At 46.7% G+C, this 26,142-nt stretch overlaps 1 protein-coding gene across 1 annotated transcript in view, besides 1 other annotated feature; it reads right to left on the bottom strand.

Annotated features, from left to right (window-relative positions):
• SLC24A3 (solute carrier family 24 member 3) overlaps positions 1 to 26,142 on the bottom strand; it is a 510,285-nt gene that overhangs the window by 116,485 nt on the left and 367,658 nt on the right. The window contains exons 5-6 of the mRNA NM_020689.4: positions 21,387 to 21,471; positions 20,898 to 21,001 (exon numbers count right to left, since the gene is read on the bottom strand). Coding sequence (NP_065740.2) covers positions 20,898 to 21,001; positions 21,387 to 21,471 — 189 coding nt within the window. The remainder of the gene's footprint in view (positions 1 to 20,897; positions 21,002 to 21,386; positions 21,472 to 26,142) is intronic.
• Positions 22,666 to 23,167: an enhancer, noted in NCBI's record as "H3K4me1 hESC enhancer chr20:19563919-19564420 (GRCh37/hg19 assembly coordinates)". NCBI's record gives its function as "activates a minimal SCP1, AML or CMV promoter by ChIP-STARR-seq in naive H9 embryonic stem cells {active_cell/tissue: H9 hESC(naive)}" and the evidence as "EXISTENCE:reporter gene assay evidence [ECO:0000049][PMID:30033119]".

Here is a 26,142-nt window from a genome sequence, read left to right as displayed (position 1 = left end):
ACCAAACATTTTTAAACACCCTGAGCTACAAAATAAAAAATAAAATCAATACCAACTGCTATTATCTCTATGGGCACTGCCTGAGCCAATGTCAACCAGAATCATTCCTGCCATAAAAGGAGCTAATTTAAATGATATGTCATCCTTCCCCATATTGGAAGCCTCTAGCACTCAGGCAGCAGTAACTAGAACATGACAAGGCTATGCACACTGGCGAGTGGTATGTTCACATGGAACAGGCAGGCAGGCAGGTCTGCCTCACCTGCACCCCTGGGTAATTTTCAGGGAGAGGAATCTATTGAGCACAGTTTTGGGTGTGCTGCCACAGGCCCTGATGGAGAGGAAGGCTGGGAAACTGGCAGTTTGGCCAACTTTCTTTTGCTTTGCTGCTCATGCTGGCCAAATAGGAAGTCCAGCTGGGGGATATCATGAGACCAAAGCTGAGGATGTTTCTAGGCTTTTAGAATATCTGTTCCCAGACTAGGAATTCAGGGCTGGGTGTCAGAATTGGCTTCAGAAGTGGGCACAGTCATTCAGAGCAGAGAGGACAAGAGGTGTAGCCTCTTCCCTTCCAGTCTCCCCAAACCTCTTGAGTGGAGGAGTTAGGGAAAAAAAGCAGTCTGATAGGTATAATTTGTTTTTCTTTTCAATGCTATTAAATTTTATTAGTTTTCTTTTGGTTTGGCACGTTCGATGGGTTGATTCAAGGGGAAAACTGAAGCTTAAAAATGCAGTGGTTGTGACTTTCTGGGGAAGACGTCGAAAAATCAGGTCACTAAACAGAGACTCAATGGGTAGATGTAAGAAGGCCTATGCTGAATTAAAAAGCAGACAGCACGTGTTACAGCTCTGAATGAACAAACATAGGGATAATTGATATGGCAGGCTTGTGGGGTTGACATTAATCTCTTAGTGGCAGCCAATATATATTCTAAGAATCTTTAAGAATCAGTTGACTTCAGCTTCAGAAACTCATATGTTGCTATTACGTTCTAATACCAAGGATGCATTTTATAAAGAAAAGAAAAGAAAAACCTCTTTCGTAGAGAAAGCTTAGTAGAAGTCTTAATTGGAAACAGACTAGCCAGTAGATGTAAGTGATTAAAAAAAAAATCACAGGAGAAAGGACTGGAAATAAACACAGTGTAAAAGTCTTTAGACATCAGACAGCTGTGGTTAAACTGTGTGATGATGGAGCCTTAAGTAAATCTGATCAATCATACACTTTGTACAAACGGTGAAAATAATCTCTTTGCTTGATCTTTGACCATCCCACACTCTCTGGGAGTTTCCCAAATCTAGGACCATTCCAGGATTGAGATGAGGCCAACGTGTTTTTTTTCCTAATTTAACTCTTATACTTTAAAATAGCATAAGCCGTGGTCAGACTGAGTGTTCTAATATCAAAATGGGATGGAAGGGAAATGGTACCCAGAGAGAGGGTGGCAAATGCTAAAGCCTGGGATCCGTTAATCAAAATGGTCACCTGTAAGAGGGGAATGCTGACAGCCTGTGGAAAAAGGATGAGATTTAGACAATGAGGAGAAGGCGGTTAAGCCTGACCACCTGCACAATCTGTCAGGAATGGAACAAAGACTGAGGGAAGGTGGGGTGCTTTGAAGTGGGGATGCAGAGCTCCTGAGAGAGGAGGGTAGGCAGAGGGTAATGGAGGAAATTCCTCAGAGCCTGCAGTAGGGGGATTTGAGCGAACACTCAAAGGCATCCAGGGCTCTGGCGGAGGCTCACACTTGAGGTCGTGTTAGCAATGCTTGGTCCATGACAATAAGCTAGTTTAGAACCACTGAGCACCTTCAGAGATCTAGGTTAACACTGGGGGTTCTGACTCCTTTCTACTCTCTGTGATTTATCACTGCTCCCAAGGACTGCAAGTTCCTAGATCATTGTCCTAATTGCAACTAAACTGCTCACCAAGGCCCCAGGACCCCCCACCCAGCCCTGCCTAGCCCTTGGCTTCACCCAGGACCCTGCTCTCCAGCATCAGCGGTCTTCTTTCTGTTCCCCTAACCGAGTCACTCTGTTCCTGCCTCACGGCTTTGGAGTGGGAGTTCACTCTTCCTGGAATGTTCTAGGTCTTCACATGGCTCCTCCTTCATACCACTAGGGTCTCAGCCCCAAGATTCCCTCTTCATAGAGGCCTTTGTTCCCTTCCCATCTGTGGTGGCTCATGCCAGCCCCTCACTCCCACTAGGCCCTGACGTCCCCCTATTTTACTCTCTTCAGACCACTCCTACTGGAGATTACCTTGCTGGTTTATTTTTTCTTATTGATCATCTACCTTCCCTCTGGCAGCACAGAAGCACCTTGAGAGCATGGGCCTTTCCTGTCTTGGTCACCATCATATCCCCGAGCCCTAGAATTGTCACTCAGAAGATACTCACCGATGGAGTAAGTGACTGGACCACACTGTGCTGCCCGGGGATTGCAGACATCTCTGCTGCCTTTCATGATGTAGTAGCATGGGAGCCTTGAGCTTCCTTTCGAAGCCCTTACAGAGACACGTGAATGATGGGGCTCAGCACAGACCCAGGGGTAACAGAGGCTACCATTGCTCAGTTGCTCTCATACGCACCAGCTCGGTGTGCACCAGGATGCCAGGACAGCTGCAGGTGTCACCCCTGGAACTCACAGCCTTGTTTTTTTTTCTTTGAATATGTGCATAATGTGGCTCCAAGGCCAGCAACAGACAGCACACTTAGTTCCAAAATGAACAATGAATTTAAGGAATAATAAAAAAAGAACTGAAGGGAAATATGTACCCGAAGTCTGATAGTTATGGGAAACCTCTTCTTTCTTCTGATGGAGAAAAGACTTCCTGCTTTCAAACAACTGCCAAGTGGTTTGACAACAGCCAGCCTGCTGGGCGAACAGGTGTTCAGACTCAGGAGGGATTTGGTCACAAATAGGAAGTCATTCCGGACTATTTATGGAGTCCATTGATTCTCTGATTGTCCCACTTGATACGTGAGCACCAAGAGCCGGCAAACAACCTCAGAAACATCCATCACCAGCCCCCATTCCACACGGAACTCTTTTCTTTGGAAAAGGAGAGAAATTAGGGTACACAAAGTTGAAGATGCCAAAATTCAGCATATGCCATCACCCCCTGCTGAGCTGTCTGACCCCACAGCTGCATCTGTTCAGCGGGCAGATGCTGTGGTGTGGCCAGGACTGCCCAGACCAAAACCCCCACAAAAGTTAAGCCAGGACCAGGGAATTCCTGAGTCAGGTCCAACTCTGGTCAAATCAGGGCCAGAGACTCAATTACATGTAAGGATTCATTTACTTCTAAATCCCACTTGGGACTTTGGTAGATGAACTTTGGTTCCATGACTAGTGCCACGCTGTGTGATTTCAGGACTTTAAACAGGGTGACAATTCCAGAGAGACTGAAACCCTGACTTGTTTTACTAGGACTTAACTCCACATGCACCGTGAACATGCCAGGCTCTTCCTAAGCAATCTTGCTCAGCTGAACCACGGTGCGGGTGTGATGAGCCCCCCTCAGCTGGCTGATGCCTCCAGTGGTAGCAGAGAGTGGTCTGCTTGCCGGACATGTGGCTGGCTTTCAACTCCCCACACACCTGCCTGCTGACTCATTAGCGCAGAGAGAGAGTCAGGGACTCCCGTGCCTTTGCCATCTGGTTTGGACAGGCCTCCTCTGGACAGAGCCATAAGCAGGGATTTCATGTACGTGATGAGAGACTCCTTTAGATGTTGATGCTTGTGAAGAAGGAGTTCTCAAGCCAAGCCATGCTTAGCATGGGGACTCTCTTGGTAGATGTGTATGTCTTTTGGTAAATATATAATAGTATACAGTGTGTTATGGCTTGGATTCTAGAGTTGGCCAGACCTGGGTTGGAAGTTTGGATTGGACATTTCCTACCTGGGTGAAACTGAAAACCAGCTGTGGTTTCGAAGCTTTAAAGAAGAGGTCCAGGCATCTGTCTGGGTAAAGGAGAAGGTAGAGGGTTTTTTCTGAAGTCATATCTTTATAGCAAGGACACTGTGGGGGCTTGTGTGTGGAGTAGGTGGGCAAAAGCTCTCCCAAGCCACCCATTGACACCAACACTGATGAGCTACATCTCTGATTTTTCATCTGTAAAATGGGGACAATGATAGTACTTTTTTCAGGGGACTCTAGAAAAGATTAAATAAAATAATGTATATAAACAACAAAGTGCGGTGCCCAGGAGCCATCAATACATGTTAGGAATAACAATAACAATAATAACTTATTTATTTATTTGAGACACAGTTTTGCTCTTGTCGCCCAGGCTGGAGTGCAGTGGCACAATCTCGGCTCACTGCAACTTCCACCTCCCAGGTTCAAGCGATTCTCCTGCCTCAGCCTCCCAAGTTGCTGGGGTTACAGGCACCCGCCAGCCACACCCAGCTAATTTTTGTATTTTTAGTAGAGACAGGGTTTCACCATGTTGCCCAGGCTGGTCTCGAACTCCTGACCTCAGGTGATCCGTCCGCCTCAGCCTCCTAAAATGCTGGGATTACAGGCGTGAGCCACCGTGCTTGGCCAATAATAATAACTTTAAATTAATGCTACTACTACTCCTATTACTGTTTCAATTATTATTAGTAATAGGAGTCTTAAACATTAACTTACACCCCTCTTTTATGGAAAACACCAGCACTGCAGACCAGAGCCAGCTGAGAGGCTGTGCATGGAGGGACTGGAGAGATGAGACTTGTAGGACTCTCAGATTCACATTCCCGGCTTGTAGCATGGCCGTGAACATTCTGACGTCTCAGGAGCCCTTGCATGAATCATGTGTCAACACCGTTCTGAGAAAGGGCTACATCTAACCTCAGCTCTCTGTGGAACAACTAGGATGGTGTTGGTGACTTCCCTGGTTTTGTCAACAGGGCAGGAGTCAGAAGGGGGAGCATGGGTTCACCCTGGGTCTGTGATCTCCATGAGTGGAGGAGGGATGACGCAGATACATAGGTTGTGGGTGCGTTGCTTTTTTATTCTTTTTGAAGTGTGGATCCCCACATAAAGGGAATTCCAACTCCTTGAGCTCTTGCTGGCCGGAACAGACCAGGGAACTGGGGCACCAAAGAAACAGGAGATTTCTGAGAGGGCAGCTGCAGAGGCTGAAAATAGACCTGGAGCTTCTGGGCAAGAGGGCCCCATGAAAAAGTGGATTGGGACCACCGCCCAGACAAGCTTCTGTGCTGGGCAGAAAGCCCAAGCCAAACTCTTGCTGGCAACACAGGTAGAGGAGAAGGCGAATGGGTCTTCTGGGTGTTTTACATATATAAACATATATCAACACCACAACAACCCTATTAGGTAGATATTATTATTACTCCCATTTAGTAGATGAGAAAACTTAGGTACAGCAAGGTTAAGTAACTTCTGAAGTTCATGTATTCAAGATGTGGGGAGGCCAAGATTTGAATGTGGGCAGTTAGCCTCCAGAACCATATGAAAAACTTAGCGTTGGCCAGGTGCAGGGGCTCACACCTGCAATCTCAGTGCCTTGGGAGGCAGAAGTGGGGGGATCACTTGAGGCCAGGAGTTTGAGACTAGCCTAAGCAACATAGGGAGACCCTGTCACTACAAAAACATTTTAAAAATTAGCCAGGTGTGGTGGCACCTGCCTGTAGTCCTAGCTACTCAGGAGGCTGAGGTGGGAGGATCACTGGAGCCCAGGAGTTTGAAGCTGCAGTGAGCTATGATTATGCCACTGCACTCCAGCCTGGGTGACAGGACAAGAACTCATTTCTAAAATATTTTTAAGAAAGCACACATACACAAAACCCACTTAGCTTAGTGCTTGTGCATAATAATACAATATGACTAATATTTACAATTACTCTCTCTGCCCAAGGCCAGAATTGGAGCTGCACACTTTATATTAAACATTTTGCTTCAGTTCAAACTTGTAGAGTAGCACTTCATTAAAATCCATTTTTATTTATGTGAGATGACAGATGTGCACAATTCTTTTATTTTATTGTCATAAAAATTAAGGAGATATATTTGATCATGATATTCTTGTTTCTTTACATGAAATTGCAGAGCTGACTTTTTTGATGGCATTTAAAAGGGCTCTCAGAGGCCCTCCTGAAGCCTTCATATGAATATGATGACTCTTAGTAGGTGTTCTGGACTTAACCGCTGGGCAGAATTTAAGAGTCCAGCGAGAAATGGCGCCTCCTAATGGGTTTGTCTAGGCCAAGCTGGCAGGGTCTGGAGCTGGAGCTGGGGCCGAGGGGAGGCTGGGAGCGCTGGGAGATCAACCCCTGTTTGGGTGAAAGCCACGTGTTTTCCACCCTGACCTGATTCTCAACTCTGTACCAAGAGCACTGAGGCCTTCCCTCAGAATGACCCCCACGGGCCTTCAACCTGGCTCCTGGACCTTCACAGGTAGCATAAGCCAAGCCAAGCCCTGCAAGGACTTCGACGCCAACATGTTTCCAAAACAGGAAAGCACACGTTTACCAAGGACATGGCTGAGCTTTGACTCCGCGGGTCATAGAAGAATCTCCTGGCTGTTCCCCTCTCAAGCTTTCCTCCTTATCCCTTAAACAGAGTCAATTCTTCCCAAAGAGAGTAGATGCCAGGAACAGGATGGGCTGAACAAACTCATCAGGATGAGGGAAGGTGCGTCTTCCCACGCTTCATTCTGCAGAACATCCCAGCACCACAGCGTATTGGCATCAGGAAATGGTATCAGAAAGGCCTCAAATTCCATTTAGTCCCACACCACATTTCAATCCCTGCTAAATTCCATAATGAGGGCATGCATAAACGTAGCTCGGAATAGAGTCTCAGTGTCTAACAGGAGGCAGCATCTTGTGTTCCACTCAGAGATGAGCACCTGGGTAGCCAGGCTCAGCACTATCAGGTGTTCTAAACCAAAAAGGCCCAGGGACACATCATACATATACAGATGCGCGGGAGGGTCTGCATCATACACGCAGTCCTCCAGATGCACGGGAGGGACCGCATCACACATGCAGGCCACCAGGTGCGCGGGAGGGACCGCATCACACACGCCGTCCGCCAGGTGCGCGGGAGGGACCACATCATACACGCAGTCCGCCAGGTGCGCGGGAGGGACCGCAAGACAGTCTAGGGCGCCCTCCTCCTCCATTTGTGAGACATGTTCTACAGCCTCCAGGACGGGAGCCCCTCTGTCCTGTTTTGCTCCACTGACTCATGTGTGCCCCACAGAGATCAAGAACACAAATTCTGGAAGCAAATTGCCTTGTTCTGCATCCTAACTCTGCTATTCCTGGATGTGTGGCCTGGGGTATGTTTCTCAACCTCCCTCTCTGGGCTCTATTTTCTCATATGTACAATGAAGAAAGAAGAACCGACACCATGGGGTTGATACAAAGATTAAACGAGTTCATGCATGTAATTTCACATCGACTCAACTGAGTTCCCAGTAAAGATTAGCTATTCATATGAAAACTATTTTTAATTTAAAATAAAAATAGCAACTGGGAGTAAAAGAAAGGTGTGTGTGTGCGTGTGTGTGTGTGTGTATATACATATATATATATTTAAATTTTTATTTAAGAAAAAGGTCAAGCACAAAGATGCTATGGGGAGGCTGGGACACATGTGTTTAGAAGCTGCATGTTGCAGTAATCAAAGACAGAGCAAGAGAGTGGAAAAAGTAAAGTTTACTGTATAATGACCAATATCTTAAAATGACGAAGGGCAGGGGTTTAATGTTGTCTAACAGCTGTACCCACGCCTTGAGTCCCCCAGCTGCTGGTACCTCACCAAGTGCCCTAATTCTAATTTTCCATGCCCCAACTGCAGTCACAATTTCACTGTGGGAGAAAGTCACAAGTAAATAAAGCACACTGAGGCCAGTGTGCTTTATTCTTTCTCCTCTCCCAGGCAATGGCACTCAGGTATATGCACTATAGGGAAGGGAAGAAGAAACTCATCCTCCCTTCCACACACAAGATATGTCACCCCCTTGGTTGGGTCAGGGGAGGGAGAGCCCCCAGCCAACTGCAACACAATCTTACTTTGCCAGTGAAAGCCGGACACGTGGTACATGAGCCCTCCCATTGCCCTAGATGGTCTGCACACCATCTGGAAAGGTTAATGGCATTAGTTTCTTTCTCACTTGGAGATTCAGGCTCAGGTCCAGGCTCCAGGTTTCCATTCAAATGCAGAGTGAGATTTCCCCTGCAGGAAAGAGCAGCTGCAGCAGGAGGCCACAAATGTCTTACTTCACAAAAAATAAAAGGAGATTGGCCTAGAATAAAAAGGATTTGACTAGAAAAGTATTCTGTCATATTAAAAAAATCCCAAAAACACCCCTCAAACTTTCCTTTGATTGTGTCCTTCACTTCTCCATTTTAAGATTGCAAACTCAGTATTGAAGGGATACGCTGCACTGTCGTTTGTTGCAGCTCTGTTCACAATAGCAAAGGTATAGAATCAACCTAAGTCTCCACGAATGGATGAGTGGGTGAAATGTGGCATATACATTCAAGGGAATACTATTTGGCCATAACAAAGAATGAAATGCTGTCATCTGCAGCAACGCGGATGGAATTGGACGTCATCATGTTCAGTGAAAATAAGCCAGGCACAGAAAGACAAATATCTCATGTTCTCATTCATATGTAGGAGCTAAAATAGTTAATCTCATGGAGGCAGAAAGTAGAATGATGGATACCAGCAACTGGGCAGGGTGTGGGGTGAGGGGAGATGAAGAGAGGTTGGTTAATGGGTACAAACATACAATTAGGTAAAAAGAATAAGTTATAATATTTGATGGCAGAGTAGGGTGACCACAATGAACAACAATGTAGTGTATATTTCAAAGTAGCTAGAAGAGAGGACTTGAAACGTTCCCAACATGTAGAAATGATAAATACTGGAGGTGACAGACACTCTAAATACCCAGATTTGATTATTATATATTCTATGCATGTAATAAAATATCACATGTACCTAATAAATATGCAAAAATATGTATCCCATACGTGTTTTCTAAAATTATATATATTTTATTTTATTTTTGGGGTTATTTTTATTTTTGGGTTATTTCACTCTGTTGCCCAGGCTGGAGTGCAGTGGTGTGATCAAAGCTCACTGCAGCCTCAACTACCCAGGCTCAAGTGATCCTCCCACCTTAGCCTCCCAAGTAGTGGGGAATATAGGTGTGAACTACCACACCTGGCTAATTCTTAAACTTTTTTTAGAAATGGGGTCTCACTATGTTGCCCAGGCCGTTCGTTGTGGAACTCCTAGGCTCAAGCAATCCACCCACCTTGGCCTTCCAAAGTGCTGGGGCCACAGGTGTGAGCCACAGTGCCTAGCAAAAAATTGTATTTATTAAAAAATAAAATAAAATTGCAAACTGAGTCCTTCTTGTCTGATGGATTAACAAGTAGAGATAAGGCTTGTCAGGAGCTCAGGGAACACAGAATAAAGACATGCTAATGATATTGCAGCCTAGCAGAGTCTGATAAAATATCCAAACTCTAGCTGGACCTAAGATGGGCGGGGAAAGGGGGTGTGAGAAAGCAGAGGACAGAGAATAAGATGGGTCAATCCACACCGTAGCAAATGCTGTGTATTTCACCTGTTCACGTCCTGCTCCACCATATGCAAAAGCATGGCCACCAGGGGTCTATGGAGCTCCTAGGTGCCAATTTCAAATTCATAAAGACTGAGGTTGACCTGGAGATGGGCAGTGCTATCCAGGACATAGGTGTCACCGTATCTGAAGTCCTAGAAGGAGCCAATCAGGGCTTTCACTACAAGTGCCACCAAGGGAAGCTGTGACTGTAAGAGGGTTGGGCGGCTCAGGAGGTTGGGCAGGGCCAGTGAATAACATCAACAACTTTTAATTAAAATCTCACCATTTACTCAGAGACCCTACCAACTTTCTGGATCTGACTCATAACGGTCAACCTCAGAATGTGTTGGATAACAGGATGCCTACTTTCTGAACACAAGCTCCTAATTGCTCATGGCGATTTGTACTCATTTGTACAGTTAACAAATATTGCTTAATCAATTTATACTGCTCAGGGCAAATATCCAGGAGTGTTCCATGATTTTTCCCATGTCATCACTCCTATTTCCAACTGACCTGCAAACCCTCTTGGCATCACCTCCAAAAAATATTCTAAAGACAGCAACCACTTCTTATCTTTACTGCTGACAACGCCACTCAAGTCTTACCACAGGCTTCCTACCTGGTCTCCCGGCCACCATCATGCCCCTGTAGTATCCTTTCTCTGCCAAGCAGTTGGGGTGATATTCCCAGAATATAAATTGCATAACGGTAGTCAACAGCTTAAAACTCTCCCGTAGCTTCCCAATGCACCCATATCCTCAGCATGACCCAAGGCTGGACATGATCGGCCCCTGGCTACCACCTCTCTGAGCACTCCCAGCCATACTCCCCTTCTTCACCAGGCTCCAAACTGGCCTATTCCATGATCCTCGAACATGTCAAGCTTGCTTCTGTATGAACATTTACTCTTCTTCCCACCTGGAAGTTTCTTCTCCTAGATCTTGATTGGAGTTGCTGTCATGATTTGGGGTTTCTTTGAGACACTTCCCCGATCACCCTCGCTAAAGCTGTTCCTCCACCTTCTCCACTGTTCACCACCCATCCCATTGCCCAATGCATTTCCATCAATAACTTTTGTCTTCTATTATCTGATCATTGATTGGTTCAGATGCTCCTTGCCTGTGTTCTCCCATGGGTCTGTGAGCTCTAGAAGGGAAGAAACCTTTCCTGTTTTGTTCACCTCAGTATGCTTTGTGCCTGCCGCTAAAAAGCAGTGAATGGAAGTCCACATGAAATCAATAATTCGGTTTCATGACTGTGTCTCAAATGCTACCCAGAGTTTGTGCTGTTTCAACTCACCTTGTCTTTGGTGTATCTGGTGGCAACTTGTGATACTCATTCATCCATGCATCCATCTGACTACCCAGGCACCCCTAGAATAGTCCCTGAGCACGTTTGTGCCAGCTGAAGGGCCCTGTGAACTCTGATCATATACTCATCCTCCCCTGCCCTGCATCAAGGGCAGGATATCAGCTAGCCAGGCCCTTATCGAAGATGCTTCAGCCCTTACCATATGTGACACTACTGTTGGTGCTGCAGATGCAGTAAGGAACAGGCAGAGACGGGCTGCATTCTTGGGGAGCTCACAGCCTAGCACAGTGATTCCCTCAGCAGAAAAAATGCGTGATGTGTCTGCTTAGACACATCATGCATTTCACTGTTGCCAGGGTTGGGGATGGTCGATGAATATGCCTCTTCCTGTTGCCCTTGGCCTTGCTGTTTTCTTACTCTAGCTTGTGAACCTAGAAGACCAGCATTTTACACTGTTCCTGGGGGCAATGGCTGGCAGTTTACTGGGATGGCACATTCCTTCTGCTCAGAGAGTGACTCATGTTCAAAACTGCACCAAATCAGAGTCTACATTTTAAATGGTGCCATTTTCTTCACAGAGTGCAATGTCTTAATATTTTTTCACGGCACTATGCTATCAGTGCTTGCAGGGGTGTCTTCCCTGAAAACTCTTTATAACACAGTAACTTCTCTCTCATGTACTTTCTTTAACGCTTACCATGCTGTATTGCTTTTTCATAGCATTGGCCACCACTTGACTCCATATATCTTCTCCCTATCTCACTATCCCACTATCCCACTATATTAATATCTTACTCTCTCTCCATCTATCCATCCATCCATCCACTCAGCCACCCACCCACTCACCTACCTACCAATCTATCACCTCTGTTGAGTATTTAACATCTCGAAGCCTGCTACTAGAATGTAATTTTTTCTCTAGTGCCTCTTCAGTGCCTGAAACTGTGCCTGGCACATAGTAGGCTCTCAGTAAACATTTGTTAAATCAGTGAATGAGCTTACTGCCCAAAGAAGACTATAATAAACATTTCTCCCTAGAACACAATCAGTGGACTATGACCCTGGCTTTAAATTCACAAATAACTACGAGACAAACCACCTTTAATTCACATTATTGTGTACAGACAGGCCTGCATTTTTAGATTCTAGGAGGTCTCAGGCCTCAGGTCCTGGTGTGGTTCAGGCCATAGCCACCTGGACTGTAGCTGCTTGGACCTAGGGCATGAAATCTGGTCTGCTCTGTCACTCCCTACATGGTGACCTGTGTAGGGGGTTGATAGGAGGGAAGACCAGGGAGTCTTCAGTGGACACCAGTCGAAGGAACAGAGGTGGAAGCCTTCCCTGCCTGCTGCACATACACTTTTGTGACTTGCTAATGTCCTGTGTGCCCTTTTACCAGGGGAAGCTTTCCAGTGCTTTTTTGCCCAAGGGTGGAGTTCGAAGGCCATGACGGGAATCCTTCGCCTCCCCTCACTTGGTGTGCAGGCTGGCTCTGCCTGTGCAGAAAGGGCAGGTGTGGAGATGAGGGGTCTCTGTGCTAAGGCTAGGGGTGCCTGGGCCCACCCGGCAGCTGTTGTGGGGTTCAGGAGTGAATGGCCGGGGTCCAGCAGGAGAACGAGCTCAGCAGATGTCACATGTTGCAGCAGTGCGGAAGAAGGCATTTTCTGGGCTGCCAGTCCCTTTGCACCCAAGTGTGCCCCTCTGATTACTCACTGAAGTGGGTTGCATGGTGATAAGAGGGCACTGAGCTGTGAAGGAATGTTGAGGACAGCCACACTGTGGAGGGAGCTTTAGGGTATGAGGCCCTTGGTCTAAGCTGACTCTGGGAGCCAGCCTTGAGGAAGCAGTTACCCTGCTTTGCCTGTGTTGTTTAGCTGTATCCCTGCAGCCCTCAACGTCTCCCAACTCATTGGTTCTGTGACTGACACAGTACTCAGCCTCTCTGAGCCTTGGTTTCCTCTTTTCTCAACAATGTCTTTCTCCAGGAGTTATTGAAAGGATCAAAATGAGTTCACATATGTAACGCTGCGAGACAGTGCCTGCCACAAGGTAAGTACTGTAGGTGTGCTTGTTAAAGGGAAGCATAAATAAAACAAGCATCTGCCAGCCTGACTGGCTTTTGTCCTCACTATACTTAACCTTCAACTCAGGTTCAGCTACTTGCGGGGCAGAGGGGCCTGGATGCCCAGTCTCTACCTCCTTCTGTGATTTTGCTAAGGGGTGACCTGGCTTTGGTTCAATTAGCCCTGGGCTCATTTGGCAGATTCTTGCTAAGAGCCCCACTTGCCTGTGATAGGAGGCAGTGTGGGGAATGTGGTGTCATGGAAAGAAATGACATTTGTGCCCCAAAAATGGACTCTCATCTTGGGACAGTGCTCAGCTGCCATGATGGTAAGACTCTGGGCAACTTGTACATTGAAAGTCTTTGCCAGCCATGTGCGGTGGCTCACGCCTATAAGTCCAGCACTTGGGGAGGCTGAGGCAGGCGGATCATCTGAGGTCAGGAGTTGGAGACCAGCCTGACTAACATGGCGAAACCCTGTCCCTACTAAAAATACAAAAATTAGCCAGGCATGGTGGCAGGCACCTGTAATCTCAGCTACTCGGGAGGCTGAGGCAGGAGAATCGCTTAAACTTGGGAGGTGGAGGTTGTAGTGAGCCAAGATCGTGCCACTGCACTCCAGCATGGGCAACGCAGTGAGACTCTATCTCAAAAAAAAAAAAAAAAGAAAGAAAGAAAGAAAATTTTTGCCGAAGATGTAGGCAGTGAGTTTCAGAAGGTGAATATTCCTTCCAGTAATTTTCATGGTGCTCCTTGGAAGTGAGTTTCAAGAGAAACATGAAAATTACTCACTTTGAAGGAGCATGTGAAAACTACATGGAAGGAGTCCTCACCCCTGGCCACGAGAGGTTCCTGCTTTTCTCTTCACATTTCTGGAATGATGCATCTCAGATACATCCAGGTGTGCCATACTAAAGGGAAATGATTGCTTCATTTTCTTTCCCCCATTGCACCGTGCTGATTATGAGTACCTCTCTTGCAAACCTAAATCCAAGAAACAGAACTAATAAAACATTGCCATGATCAGTTTAAATCATTTCTAATGGCTCTACCCACTATTGATTTGGCTATGGAAATAAATTGGACAGAAGGACTCAGAGGAGTGCTTAGTCGAGTGTGATGATTTAGAGACTGCCTGGACAATATAATAAGAAGAGGACAAAACCCCTGACTAACAAATGGGCAATGATTTAAACAGATTTTTCACCAAAGAAGATGGCAAAGAAGCCTGTTAAAAAATGCCCAACATTATGGCTCGTCAGGGAAATGCAAATTAAAACCACAGTGACGTGCCACTCGTGCTCAATAGAATGGCTAAAATGAAAACAAAACAAAATAGTACTGATAATACTAAGTGCTGGTGATGATGTGGGGCACCTGGAATCCCACATGTAGGTGGTGGAAATACAAATGGTTTAGCCACTTTGCAAAGCTGTTGGTGGTTTCTTACAAACATACTTAGCACACAACCCAGTAATCCCACTCCTAGGTTATTTACCTGAAAGAAATGAGAGCATATGTCCACAGCAAGACCTAGAGTGCATCTGTGTGCAGTTTTTCCCTTGTGTTCCACCAGCCCAGGGAAAGCAGACATTGAGGCAGCACACGATAGTGCACAGGCTTTGTCCTGTAATCATTTATCTCTGCTTTTTATAATAAACTGAAAACTGTGTATTCGAGGTGGAAGTGATTAGATTCTTAGCTCTGGAGGGAAGGGAGAAATGGGTATGTGGTTCTTGATTAACCTAAACCAATTGAGTAACTAGTTCCTTTGCCACAATGATTGGTTCAGGGATGGTCAGGTAACCTGAGTTGGCTCAATCAGATTTTTGTTTGATGATGCTATGGGGGGATGGGGAATGAGATGTGGTGGCCAAGGAGACATCCTCTTTCTCTTTCCTGGCCAAAGTGGTATGTGTACCTGAGGCCTGAAAATGCTACAGCTATTTTCTGCCATTAAAAAAAAAAAACTAGTATGAGGAAGGAAACAGAGGAGATTAGAGATAAAAGAATCACAACAATGGGGCTGGAAGTCCTGATCAAGTCATACCTGATGTCCACTTTCCTTTGCATTTTTCAGAGACATCTATAAATTTCCTTCATTTAAGAAGCCAGTTAGAGTTGGGATTTTTTTTTTGTTGTTACCTGAAACTGAAAGCTTCTAATTAGTCTAGATGTGGATCTGAGAATGAATCTGACTTCAGGAGATCGTATCAAAGAAGTGGAACAAGCAAGACACACGTTTTGTGAGCCCAGATCAAAGCTAACACAGAGATCTGGGGTGAAGTTGTAGAGGCAATGAAAACAGAGCAGCACAGAGCCAGGTGGGTGGCCTTAGCAGAACTCTGGGCCTGGGACCAACAGCATCTGTCAGGGGGAGATCAGGTGTGGGGCCCTGTCAGGACCTGGCCTTGAGGGGGTTGGGGTGGGGATGGCCAGAGAAAAGAAACTATGAGGGGACAGTGCAAGAGACAGCCTCAGGCAGATGGTCAGTCATAAGACTGGGGCCTCAGCAGGACTGTCTACCTTTCCTGGACCAACTGCTGGAGGCTGCCTCTCATCCAGGGCCACGCTTGGTCTAGAACGTGATGAGAGCTGAGCCTGCAGATGGAGCTGAAGCAGGTGAGCTGCTCTTCTGATTCAGTTGGCCTTGGGCTAGGGCTGGGGCTCTGCTTCTAACAGGAATCTGCCTCCTGATGCCACAGCCTGCAGAAGATGCCGGGAGAAACCCAGTTTTACTGGGTGTGATGGAATTCACTGGCTGCCTCAGCTGGACCTGACCTTGGCCTTGGTCTACTCCTGCACTTCACATTCTGCTCTCTGCTACTCACAGGATCATGTACGGAAGCACGCTGGCTCCTGGATGAGGCCTTCTGCCACACCTGCCCTCTTGGTTTCTCAACAGATCACTTGCTCTCTTCCTTGCAATTTCATCTCCCTCCCTGGAATGGATGTTAGGCCTCCAGCCCCTATTTTTAGGTTTGGCAGCACTATGGGTGTGTGGTTTTTGGCCTCCCCTGTCCTCTGTCCCCAGCTTCTTGGAAAATCTGGATGCATCTCAGGATTGGAACAGGGGAGCTGTGTGTTGGGTTTTGTCTGGGGAACAATAAGATAGAAATCAAGGTGTACGGGGTAAGCTGGGGCAGCCTGTGGGTGTCCCGCTGTGTTTATCAGCCTGAGTCCTCCATCTGTGGTGGAAGCAAAAGCCCAGCTGTGGGAGATGCCATCTGAGTATAAGAGAAACTTCTAGCTGCACATTGTTTGTGCTAAGTAAAATATTAGGTTGGTGCAAAAGTAATTGCGGTTTTTGCCATTACTTTCAATGGCAAAAACCGCAATTACTTTTGCACCTATCTAATACTTCCATTGTAGCAGGGGCTACCACCATTTTGCTGATGTGTCTGTTTTCTTGGCATTGACCCCAGATCCTACACTCAAAACTTCCAAAGAACACATAAAATCCAAGGCTAATCATAAGAATGCAATGATAACATCTGGAGGTTTTTAAATCGTAGATTCCCCCTTTTGGAAGGAGAATGGAATTTATAACCAACTGATGTGAGCTCAAATTCAGTCTTAACTACCAGACAATAGACTCTTTGCCATCTGGGGAATACTGAATCCCCCAGTATCCATTTCCTTGCCTGTAAAGAAGGATGATAACTATCTTAAAACTCAGTGGGTGTATTTCCGCAAATATTTTTACAGAATCTAGTGTGGTGCCTGAACGTTAGAGAAGCTTAATAAACAGTAGCTGGTATTTTTAACATTAGAGAAAATTCTTTAAATGCAAGATGTCCTGGCCCTAGACACTTTATAGTCTGCCTAGTACTAAAGCTTGTGTTTCATCCAAGGGAGCTGAAGATGAGACCCAGGAAGTGTATTGTTTTAAAGTCTTTGTCTTGAGTTCATAGCAAATGTTTTACTATGAGCTCACTCATATTTCCCCACCTTTACCATTTCAGGCCCTTTCCACTGCTGTCCCCTAGATCTCTTTGCCTGGGGGTTTTCCCTGGGCCCCAAGGTCCACTCCGCCTGAGCCCAGCAAGCTGGAATGCTGGGGAATTAATATCCCTTAAGTGCAGTCTTTAACCAATGAATGATGGAAGCTGGTGGAGAAATACTCTAGCTCCCCCGCCTCCTTACATGAGATAACTTAGTGGCTCTCCAGTTAAACTGTCTCCCAGTTCCCACAGAAGAATTAGATCTCTGTTACCCACAGTGATAACTGGCTTGCTAACACACTTTCCTCCACTGCTTTCTCTTCCTTGCCTTCCTTCCACACTGTCCCACAAGCACTTCCTGGGATCACCTTTCAAATCAACTGTTTGCACTTGAGTCCTTGCTTAGAGTCTCTTGGGGAAGCCCAAATGCAGGTGGATTTCAATTCAGAGGTGCAATCTTTGGGTGCTGCTAGGGTTTGTTTAAACGAGCCAGTATTATTTGAAGAAAGGCAAACCCAGCCAAGATGAGATGGGCCTTGCCAAAGAACATCAGGCACATTTTAAGCATGCCAGTAGGGCTGATGTTGGAGCTCTTTATTATAAACTAGAGCCATCTGCCGGCCTGTAATAACCTGAATATGAAAGTCCTAACCTGGGATGCAGTTAAACTGCATAATTTCTGTTTGTGGTTAGGCATTTAAATCTTAACATGCTCTGAACGGCAGATCGAAATTCACAAGTACATTGTTTTACAAAACTGGCATGAAGTCCCTTCAATACAACGTACAAGATACATTAGTATGTTGCATCAAGAGCTCGGTGTTTTCTCTTTGTTGTTATTATTCTTCGTTTTTAAATAAAGGAAACTTGTAGGACCACAGCCTTGTAAATGTCTTGAAGTGATGCCAAGAACCTCTCTATAAGCCACTTTCTAAAAAGCAATTTCCTTTTTGTCCCATAAAACTCCCCAAAGCACCTTAGGTGAACACCAAAGCGAGGGTTATGTTTGCAAACTGCAAATACAGCAGACATTTAATTACACTGAATTCATCAAAACCCTAATTGAGACAGGAACTCAAACCTTATAGCTTAATTACTTTAATTTCAGATGGATAACAGACTTGGTCATGTGCAACCCTCCATGCTGAAATTCATAGAGGGAGGCCCACGGGCACTCGCTGGTAATTCTCCCAGCCAAATGAAAGTGCAGATCAACATAAATAAAATGCTAAGTGAAATCCATGATTGGATTTATTAATCGCTTCAATTCCCAATATCCAGCCTTTGCCGTAACATTCCACTGCACCAACTCCACCGCCTGGGAGAGCTTCTCCCTGTTTGAGGCTGGGAAGCTGTCATTTCTTTTTTTTCACCTCCCACTGGTAGACAGCACAGAAGTAAGTACTAGTCCTTTGAGACTGTTTTTCTACGAACATCTCCTTACTTTGATTTACATTTAGAAGACCTTCTCCCTGACTATCCCTTTCCTTCCCACTGAGTATCCTGTGTCTGTTAATTAAGCTGTGGACACCCTTGACTGTTAGATAAGTTCCATCAATGAGTTGGTCAAATTATCACAGTGACCTAGGTGGAATTTGGAGGTGAGAACCCCAGGGATGCGTATTCTGAGCATAGCTAATGGTGTCTAACTGAGACTGACTTACCATGTAGAGCAGGTCTATTAATGCTGAACATGCTACAATTCATCTTGATGGCAACACTAGGAAGTAGGTGTGCTTGTACCCACTCTATAGATGAGAAAAATGAGGCTTTGAGAACATAAGTAACTTCTCCAGGGTTCCACAGCCAGAAAATGGCAGAATCAGGATTTAAACCCAGACCCGTCTGATTCCCCAGCCCATGTTCTTCCCAAAACATAATTTTGCTTCCTCTGCAAAGACTTGAAGGATCCTACAAAACCCTGAGCTGGATGGCCTTGAAAATCTCCAGTTTGGCACATGACAGGAAAGTCAGAAGGAAAGGTTGGCATCCAGAGTCATCGCGTGGACTGTGGACTGCTTCTCCCAACAGTCATGGTTGTTACTTCTGTCCATGGCTACAGGGTTGTGAGGTGAGCCAGCAAAGACCTTCTGGGGTGAGTCAAGGGACAGACACCAGCATTTTTTGGAGTTCAGGGAGCCCTTTGCCTTTGATGCAGGTGTTCCAACCAAGCTGGGATGAACCGCGTTACTAATGAGTGATGAGCCACACATGCATCCAAGCCATTTCATAAGTAATTAGTTGTGTGGCACTGACTAGATGCTCCCCAGTCATTTGTTTCATTTCTCTACATTATCTCTCTTCCTTTGGGCTTGCTTGTGAATCAAGCTTCAGGTACAAATGATGAATGAACTAATGACAACACTAATAACAGCCAGACTAATAACCATACTGCTGATGGTGACAATGCCAATTAGGAGAGTGCTAACAGCGACAGACTCTTCTGCTGGGTGCAACTGTTCATCTGTGGAAGGCCACAAGCAGGTGTCCAAGGCAAAGGAGAGCCAGGGAAGTGCAAATAGCACCAAAGGCAAAGGCAGAGACTCATTTTTTAAAAAAATACTAACTACATTTATGGGAGATTTAAAAAGCACATATTGTGGGTACACAAAATCTAAGACATGAGCTCATTGACTGAGAGGATGAGAAGAGGGAAATCATTCAGTCTAAGGAGCTGAGCAGAGCTCAGTCACCATGTACTGGGAGCCCCTTTTCCAGATAGAAGGGACCCATCCACCTGTGGGCCCTGGAGCTGAATCCCGATGAGATCCAGGTGTCCCTCTGCGTGTCACCTGAAGGCAACTGACACACCAGGCAATCCAGACAAATCAATAGGCACGAAGATGACGGAAGTAAAAATGGGCAGTGGAGAATGCAATGGTGGACCCGGGGTATCCTGCATGGAGACCCTCGAGTCTACATCAGTGGAACGGGCAGCATGGGGTGCCCCTTGCCGCTGCTGTGGGGTGAGGGCCCTGGCAAAGGGTAGGGGGAAGGCTGCCCCGGGGCTTTCCTTAGCCCCCTGACCCAATCAGCCACTTCTAGGAGAACAGTGCACTGTTCATATCAAGGCTGCTGATCAAGTGGTTAGGATCAGCAGGTTCCTTGATATTGTAAGTGGAGTAGCCTCCATGAGCTTTTAGAAGTGCCTTTTACTAGAAGATACACAAAGTTGTGGGTATTTGGGCAGAGATCTCAGGGTTGTGTTGTTTCTGAATAAAATCCCTATGAAGAAATTTAGGATATCAGAGTTGGCAAAACAGTTGCAAACCCTGCAAACAAACCTCCAGGTGCTGCTGCAGTGTAGGCTTGTCGCCCAGAGCCTCCCACGCAGTGGCTTCTGAGCACCTTCCCCAGACTTTCCAAAACAGACGCCAGTATTCATAAAGAACTCAGATAGCAGGACACCACCTGGAAGTGGCATCAACTCCATAGGTAAACTGCAGGCTTGCTAAGCCCTTCATAACCCCAAAGGCACGTTATAATAGAGAAATGAAATGCTCTACCACAGTCAAAAAAGGTTAGGCTGTGTCCTAAACCGTGATGACTGCATGTTTTGTTTAGCAGATTCTCATGTATTCTCATTGTGTTTAGCAGATTCTCATGTATTCTATTTCCAATGAGCAAAAATCATACCTAAAATTGTTTTAGGCCATTCTAGTTCAGATCAGTAACATACCAAAATGAATGTGGAACCCTTCAGATTGTAACCCACATCTTTCAGTCTGGTTAATTATTTATGTGGACCTGAGCATTCTATATTCCATCAACATGGAGACCAAGTAATGGTGGATTACCAGTTTCCACTTCTAGCTGGGCCAGCCTCCTGGGATGTGAGGTCCCAAATCACTGCTGCCCAAACCACTGGGCCCTAATGCAAGTTGTGTTCCAGCAAGACAGTCTCCTGCCTAAACTCCATGCCTCCCCTTTCCCCAATGTCACATTTTGCCATCACAAAGAAGCCGCCAGTCTTACCTGCCCAGCAAAGAGCCCACAGACACCAATGATGCACAGGATGTTGAATACCGCTGAGCCCACGATGGTGCCAACTCCCACATCGCCTTTGGTGATGAAGACCCCTGAAACACAGATCCCACATCAGCCTGGCTGTTGTGGCCCTGTTGCATTCCAAGGTGGGCATGGGGAACCTTTCATAAGCATTAGATTGTTCTCAGAATCTACAGGAAACAGCTGAGGGGTGGAGAGAGCTTTCTAATCTACAGAGGGATGATAGCTGCACAGGAGTGTGATGGGCTTGGGGTCTGGGACAAGTTCATGCACAGTAAAAGCATCACTTAAATAAAACAACAACGGCAGATGGGAGGCTGATGTTCTACTCATTGGGGTCCCTGGATTATCATTTTCTATGAGTGGCAGACAATCTCGGTCTGGGGGCCATCCATTCCCAGAGCCCTTTTCCTTCAGACAGTGAAGGTCTGAGATGTCCCTCAGTCTGTCACCTACCTATGACCGATGTGAACAGCTCTGGGGCCGAACTTCCCGCTGCCATGAATGTGGCCCCAGCCACATCTTCACTGAGGTGCAGGCGCTACAGAGGAGCAAAGACAAAGCACAGGTGAGTTGGGATTCCATCTCGGAAGAGAGGTGACTGTGACACCCGAGAGTCCAAGCCCTGAGAAGCAAAGACTGGGGCTTCAGCGAGAGTAGGACCGATGGGACCTGGGGCTGGTACTTAGTCCCTCTCAGCCTCCTTCTCCTTCTCACAGAGCGCAGCCACTGCTGCCGATCCCCTGCTGAGTCAGAGCTCCTCTCAATGTCCTCCTTAAGGGACAGGTTTGGGGAGGGAACTACATGTCCTTATGAGCTAAAGGCTCTTGGGAAGATCTAGGGGTCTTCAACCCAATTCCCGCAGGGGCTGTGCAGATGACAGTCAGGAGTGGAGTGGGCCCATGGGAGGCCACAGCAGGCGGTAGGTCTGAGGCTATGGTGGGGGCATTCACCTCTTTCTATGGGCAGCATTGCCCAGTTCCCTCAGTGTGGCCAGATATTCTGATTTTTAAGAGATGCCAATAATCCAACCTTTTATGCAAAACTTCCTGATTTTTGTGATACTATGCTGATCTCAGGCTAAATGACGCTCATGGTAACCAGTTTGTGAGTCTTTAGGAGGTTATGGAGGCATGTTGGGGTGTGGATGTGGGGATCACCCTCCTGAAACCCACTCCCCTTCCTTGAGGCATTCTGGAAACCCCGGGATCAGAGAGTGGGAGTGGGGGCTTAAGGCTGAAAAGAAGGTAATGAGGCATCAGCCCTGCCAAGACGGGGTTTATACAATGAGCTCTCCAGGTTACTCTGTTTGTTAAACCAAAAGGTGATTTACAAGAAGACAAGGCAATTATACATTAGAGGCTGGTAACCAGATTTTGCATTTCTGCATTCAGTCATGACCCAGAAAGTATGCTGCTGGCTGCCAGTGAATAGCCAGTTCCCTCCTGGCAGTCAAGCTTGAGTGACATCCTTCTCTTCCCAGTGGCACCTACAGCTGCACTTCCTTGCTCAGCCAGAGAGGGGCGGTGTGGCCCTGATGTAGGTCACTGGCCTCCATTGAGTGACCCACAATAGTCTGCAGGAGAAGCCCTAACTGAGGATTTTGATCTAGGATCCTGGGTCGCTTCGCTGTCGGCTGGACAGCGAAGCTTCACATGGGATGCCGAGCAGATCCTAAGATGGAGGCGCAGATAGCGCAAAGTTGCAAGGTGTGGCTGTGAGGGGTGCCCAAGCACTCCTGTCCCATGGAGCTAAGAGTCTGTGAGTGAGGTAGCCTGACACAGCTCGCAGCTCCCTGTATGGTTTGCCGAGACCTGCCAGGAGGCGGGAGCCATGTGTTGCTGTGGTTCTGTCCTGCTGGGGTATTAGTTGTGGCATCCAAACCTTGGGTTCATGTCCGTTTCCCCTCTCTCCTTCATCCAGCCAGTTTGTTTCTTCCTCTGTATCTTCTTATACCCCTCCATCATCCCCAGTTCACTTCAGCCCTGGCAATATCTCACAGGACTCTAGTCTTCTTGACTCTGGACTCCTATCTACCATGACAGAGCCCTGAAAAGCCCTCCCCAGCTCCCTCCAGAGCTTGGAATAATTCCTAACGCCCAGCCTGGCTTGCAGGGCTCCCTGTATGCTGGTGCAAAACCCCATCTTGGTTTTGCGGCTCACACATTCTCTCACCAAATACCCTTCCTCAAAATACTTGGCCACTGACACCTTCCCTCTAAGGGCTGTTCTAATCCTGCCCCTTGCACAAGCCCTTTCCTGATCTCCTCCCAACTCTGTCCCTCGCAGCGTCAATCTCTCCTTCCCCCACTCTCTCTCTGCACTTCTGCACTTGCCAATTCCCCGCCACTTCCTCCAGCCCCCTGTGGATATTACCCTGGAGCTGCTCTGCAGCTAGGAGCCCTGGGATGGGATGGGACATGCTGTGTGTGATCTAGTTTCCTCCCAGCCCCTGGCATAGAGCTTGGTCCAGGCAGAGCCCAGCTTAGTGCTGACGTCAGAGGGGTGAGTAGTGTTCCAGACCTATTGTCACATCCTCCGCTGCTCAAATGTCCCACTGCTGTCCTGGAAGCCTCCACATGGGTCCCAAAGCCTCCCACCCTCCCCATCCGACTTCACCTTTCCTAGACAAGCCTCTGCTCGGCCAGGCCTGCCACCTCATGGTCCTTGGGGATGCCAGGCCCTTCCACTCGCTGCGCTTTGGTTCATGTTCACTCTTCTTCCTGAAATGCCTCTCTCCCTTCCCGCCTCAGTGCAGCTGAGGCTGTCTACTGTGGCTTATAGGATTTCTCTAAACTCTGGAGACCCTCTCTGCACGTTCTGCAATGGTATCTCTGGACTGTTCAAAATCTAGGGGCTGTCATTTCACACAAGGAGAAAGTAAGGTCCAGACAGGGGAAGGGGCTGGCATGGAGCAGGTGCTTTGTAAGCACCAGGGCCTGCCTGACCCCAGTTTCGGATCCTGGATCATTGCCTTTATCTCCTTCTCTTTCTCCCATTTTCTTTTCTTTGCCTTTTCCTGAACCCCACATTTTTCTGCTTTTAACTTTAAAGTATTTGAGACTGAGCGAGAATCTGCCCTGACCTCCAAGCAATGATTCGTTGCACAGTGTGGATTTCTCTCCCCACTCATCTTTCACAAAAGCTGGAAACGACAACCTTCTGTGTTTTTCTGCCCCACTCCCAGTTTTAGTCTACGAGTAACCATGAAACACAGAGTATCGAATCATTAAAAGGTGATTAAGGAAAGCACAGGCAGTAAACAGAATCCAGGGCCGAGAGGCCCTCCAGGCCACTGCTGGTGGACCCACGTCATGATCCTCTCATCTTGTGAGAAAGTGTAACTCCAGGGAGAACTGATTCCACGTCTCTTAGAAGATGTAAACATGTCAGGATCTCTAAATATATGTGAGCTCTGACCTCAGCCCACCCATCATTCACAGACATAATGTTTCCCCAGCAATTAAGGTTGTTTAAGGTCCATGGAGCCAACATTGTCTTTCCAGGAGACAGGCACGGGGCACCCACTCTTGTTATATGAATCTTGCTTATAAGACCAGATTTGGGGTGGGAGCAGGGAGAGCCCAGGAAAATGTGGTTGCTCTTCTGTGCCCACTCCTCCAGTATCGCTGTGGGTCTGGGCAGTGCAGCCAGTTCTAACACCACCATGACCTGGTCCAGGCTCGTCTCTGGATGGAGTAGAGAAAAGCCTGAAGACTTGGAAATCAGGCTGACTTGGGCTCAAATAGTGACTCTATCCCTTGACCCAGGGCAAGTTGCTCAGCTTCTCTAAGCTCTGGTTTCCTTGTTTGTAAAGAGGGGATAATATCAGTCACCTGGCAGAATTCTTGAGATGATTAAAGACAGGTAGACATAGTCACACCACACTGTTTAGCGACTGAACCATATCAGGGACCTAGTAAAATAACACCTCACCCTCCTTAAACATTTTCTTTCCTTTTCCTCTCCTTATAACTTTTTTGTTAAAAGACTCACACCTGCCCTCTTTTCCTGCCATTTTCTGGCTCTTTGATTGCCTCTCCCTACAAGGGCATGGGTATTCACAGGTTCTGTGTCCTCAACTGAGTAGAACACATGCTGACAACTGTACTGACATTTCCAGAATATAATTTTGATATTCACACCAAAAAAATTGCATGGGAAAGAGAGAGAGTTGTTTTGCTCTGCATGAATAATAAAACACCCAATAGTGGTATTTCAGAGATCACAGAGGACTCCAGTTACAGGTGAGGAACACCTCCTCCCCTTCGACATAAGGTGACCCCACTCTCAGGTGGAATTCCTCAGACAAAGGGCTTCCACACCTGCCCACTGTGCATTTCAGATGCCACCTCAATTACTCTGTGCTACTGTGGAAGAGAACACCTCCTGTGGCTCTCTAAATATTGTTATTGTGGGACACTTTTTATTTATTTAAGTATCCAACACTAACTTCCAGGATGTAGAAGACACTGCTTAGGGTATGTGGTTCTCTAAGTCTGTGGTTCCTGGACTAGGCAGCAGCCTCAGCATCACCTGAAAAACGTATTAGAAATGCAAATTCTACCCCCTCCCACTCTCCCAAGACCTACTGGATCAGGTACTCAGGGGAGAGAGAAGGAAAGGGAAGACACAACCAGTTTTGAGAACTACTGGCATAAAGAAACCGAGTTCTCGACAGATGTGTCTGGGGGAGATGCCTTCTGGAAACAGGGATTCTGAATTAAAATATAAACCGATAAATATAAATAAATAAATAAAATGGAAAGCTTTCAGATAAAGGAAGCTACATTTCCAAACAGACAGAGATGAAAGAGGCAAGAGAATGAAAGAGTTCTAGATCTGCTGAATATTTTTTGATGAAAGGGGTTTAACTTGCTGTTCAGCCTGGCATGCACTATGATGATTTCTAACAGGGACACTTTCCTGATCTCCGTGGCCAATTCTTTCATCTCAGTGCTTCCGCTTGGAGCATTTCTGTACATATACAGAGAGAGGAAGCATGGCAGAGGTATGCGGTTGGAGGTTTTTAATCCTGCGAGGATGCCATGGATATCAAAGGAGAGTTATGGAGGCAGAAGGAAACACAGGAGAGAGAGGTGGAGGAAGTAACAGAAAGGAAGAGTGAGTTTAAAAGGAAAAGAAAATGGGGAAGGAAAACACAAATAGTACCATTAGTTAGGTCTAAATGGAGTTGGGGAGGTTGGTCCTG

This window comes from Homo sapiens, chromosome 20 (assembly GCF_000001405.40).
Source record: "Homo sapiens chromosome 20, GRCh38.p14 Primary Assembly".
In the NCBI taxonomy this organism is placed as follows: Eukaryota; Metazoa; Chordata; class Mammalia; order Primates; family Hominidae; genus Homo; species Homo sapiens.
Note: the sequence above shows the minus strand (reverse complement) of the source record. Positions and strands in the feature narration are given on the sequence as shown.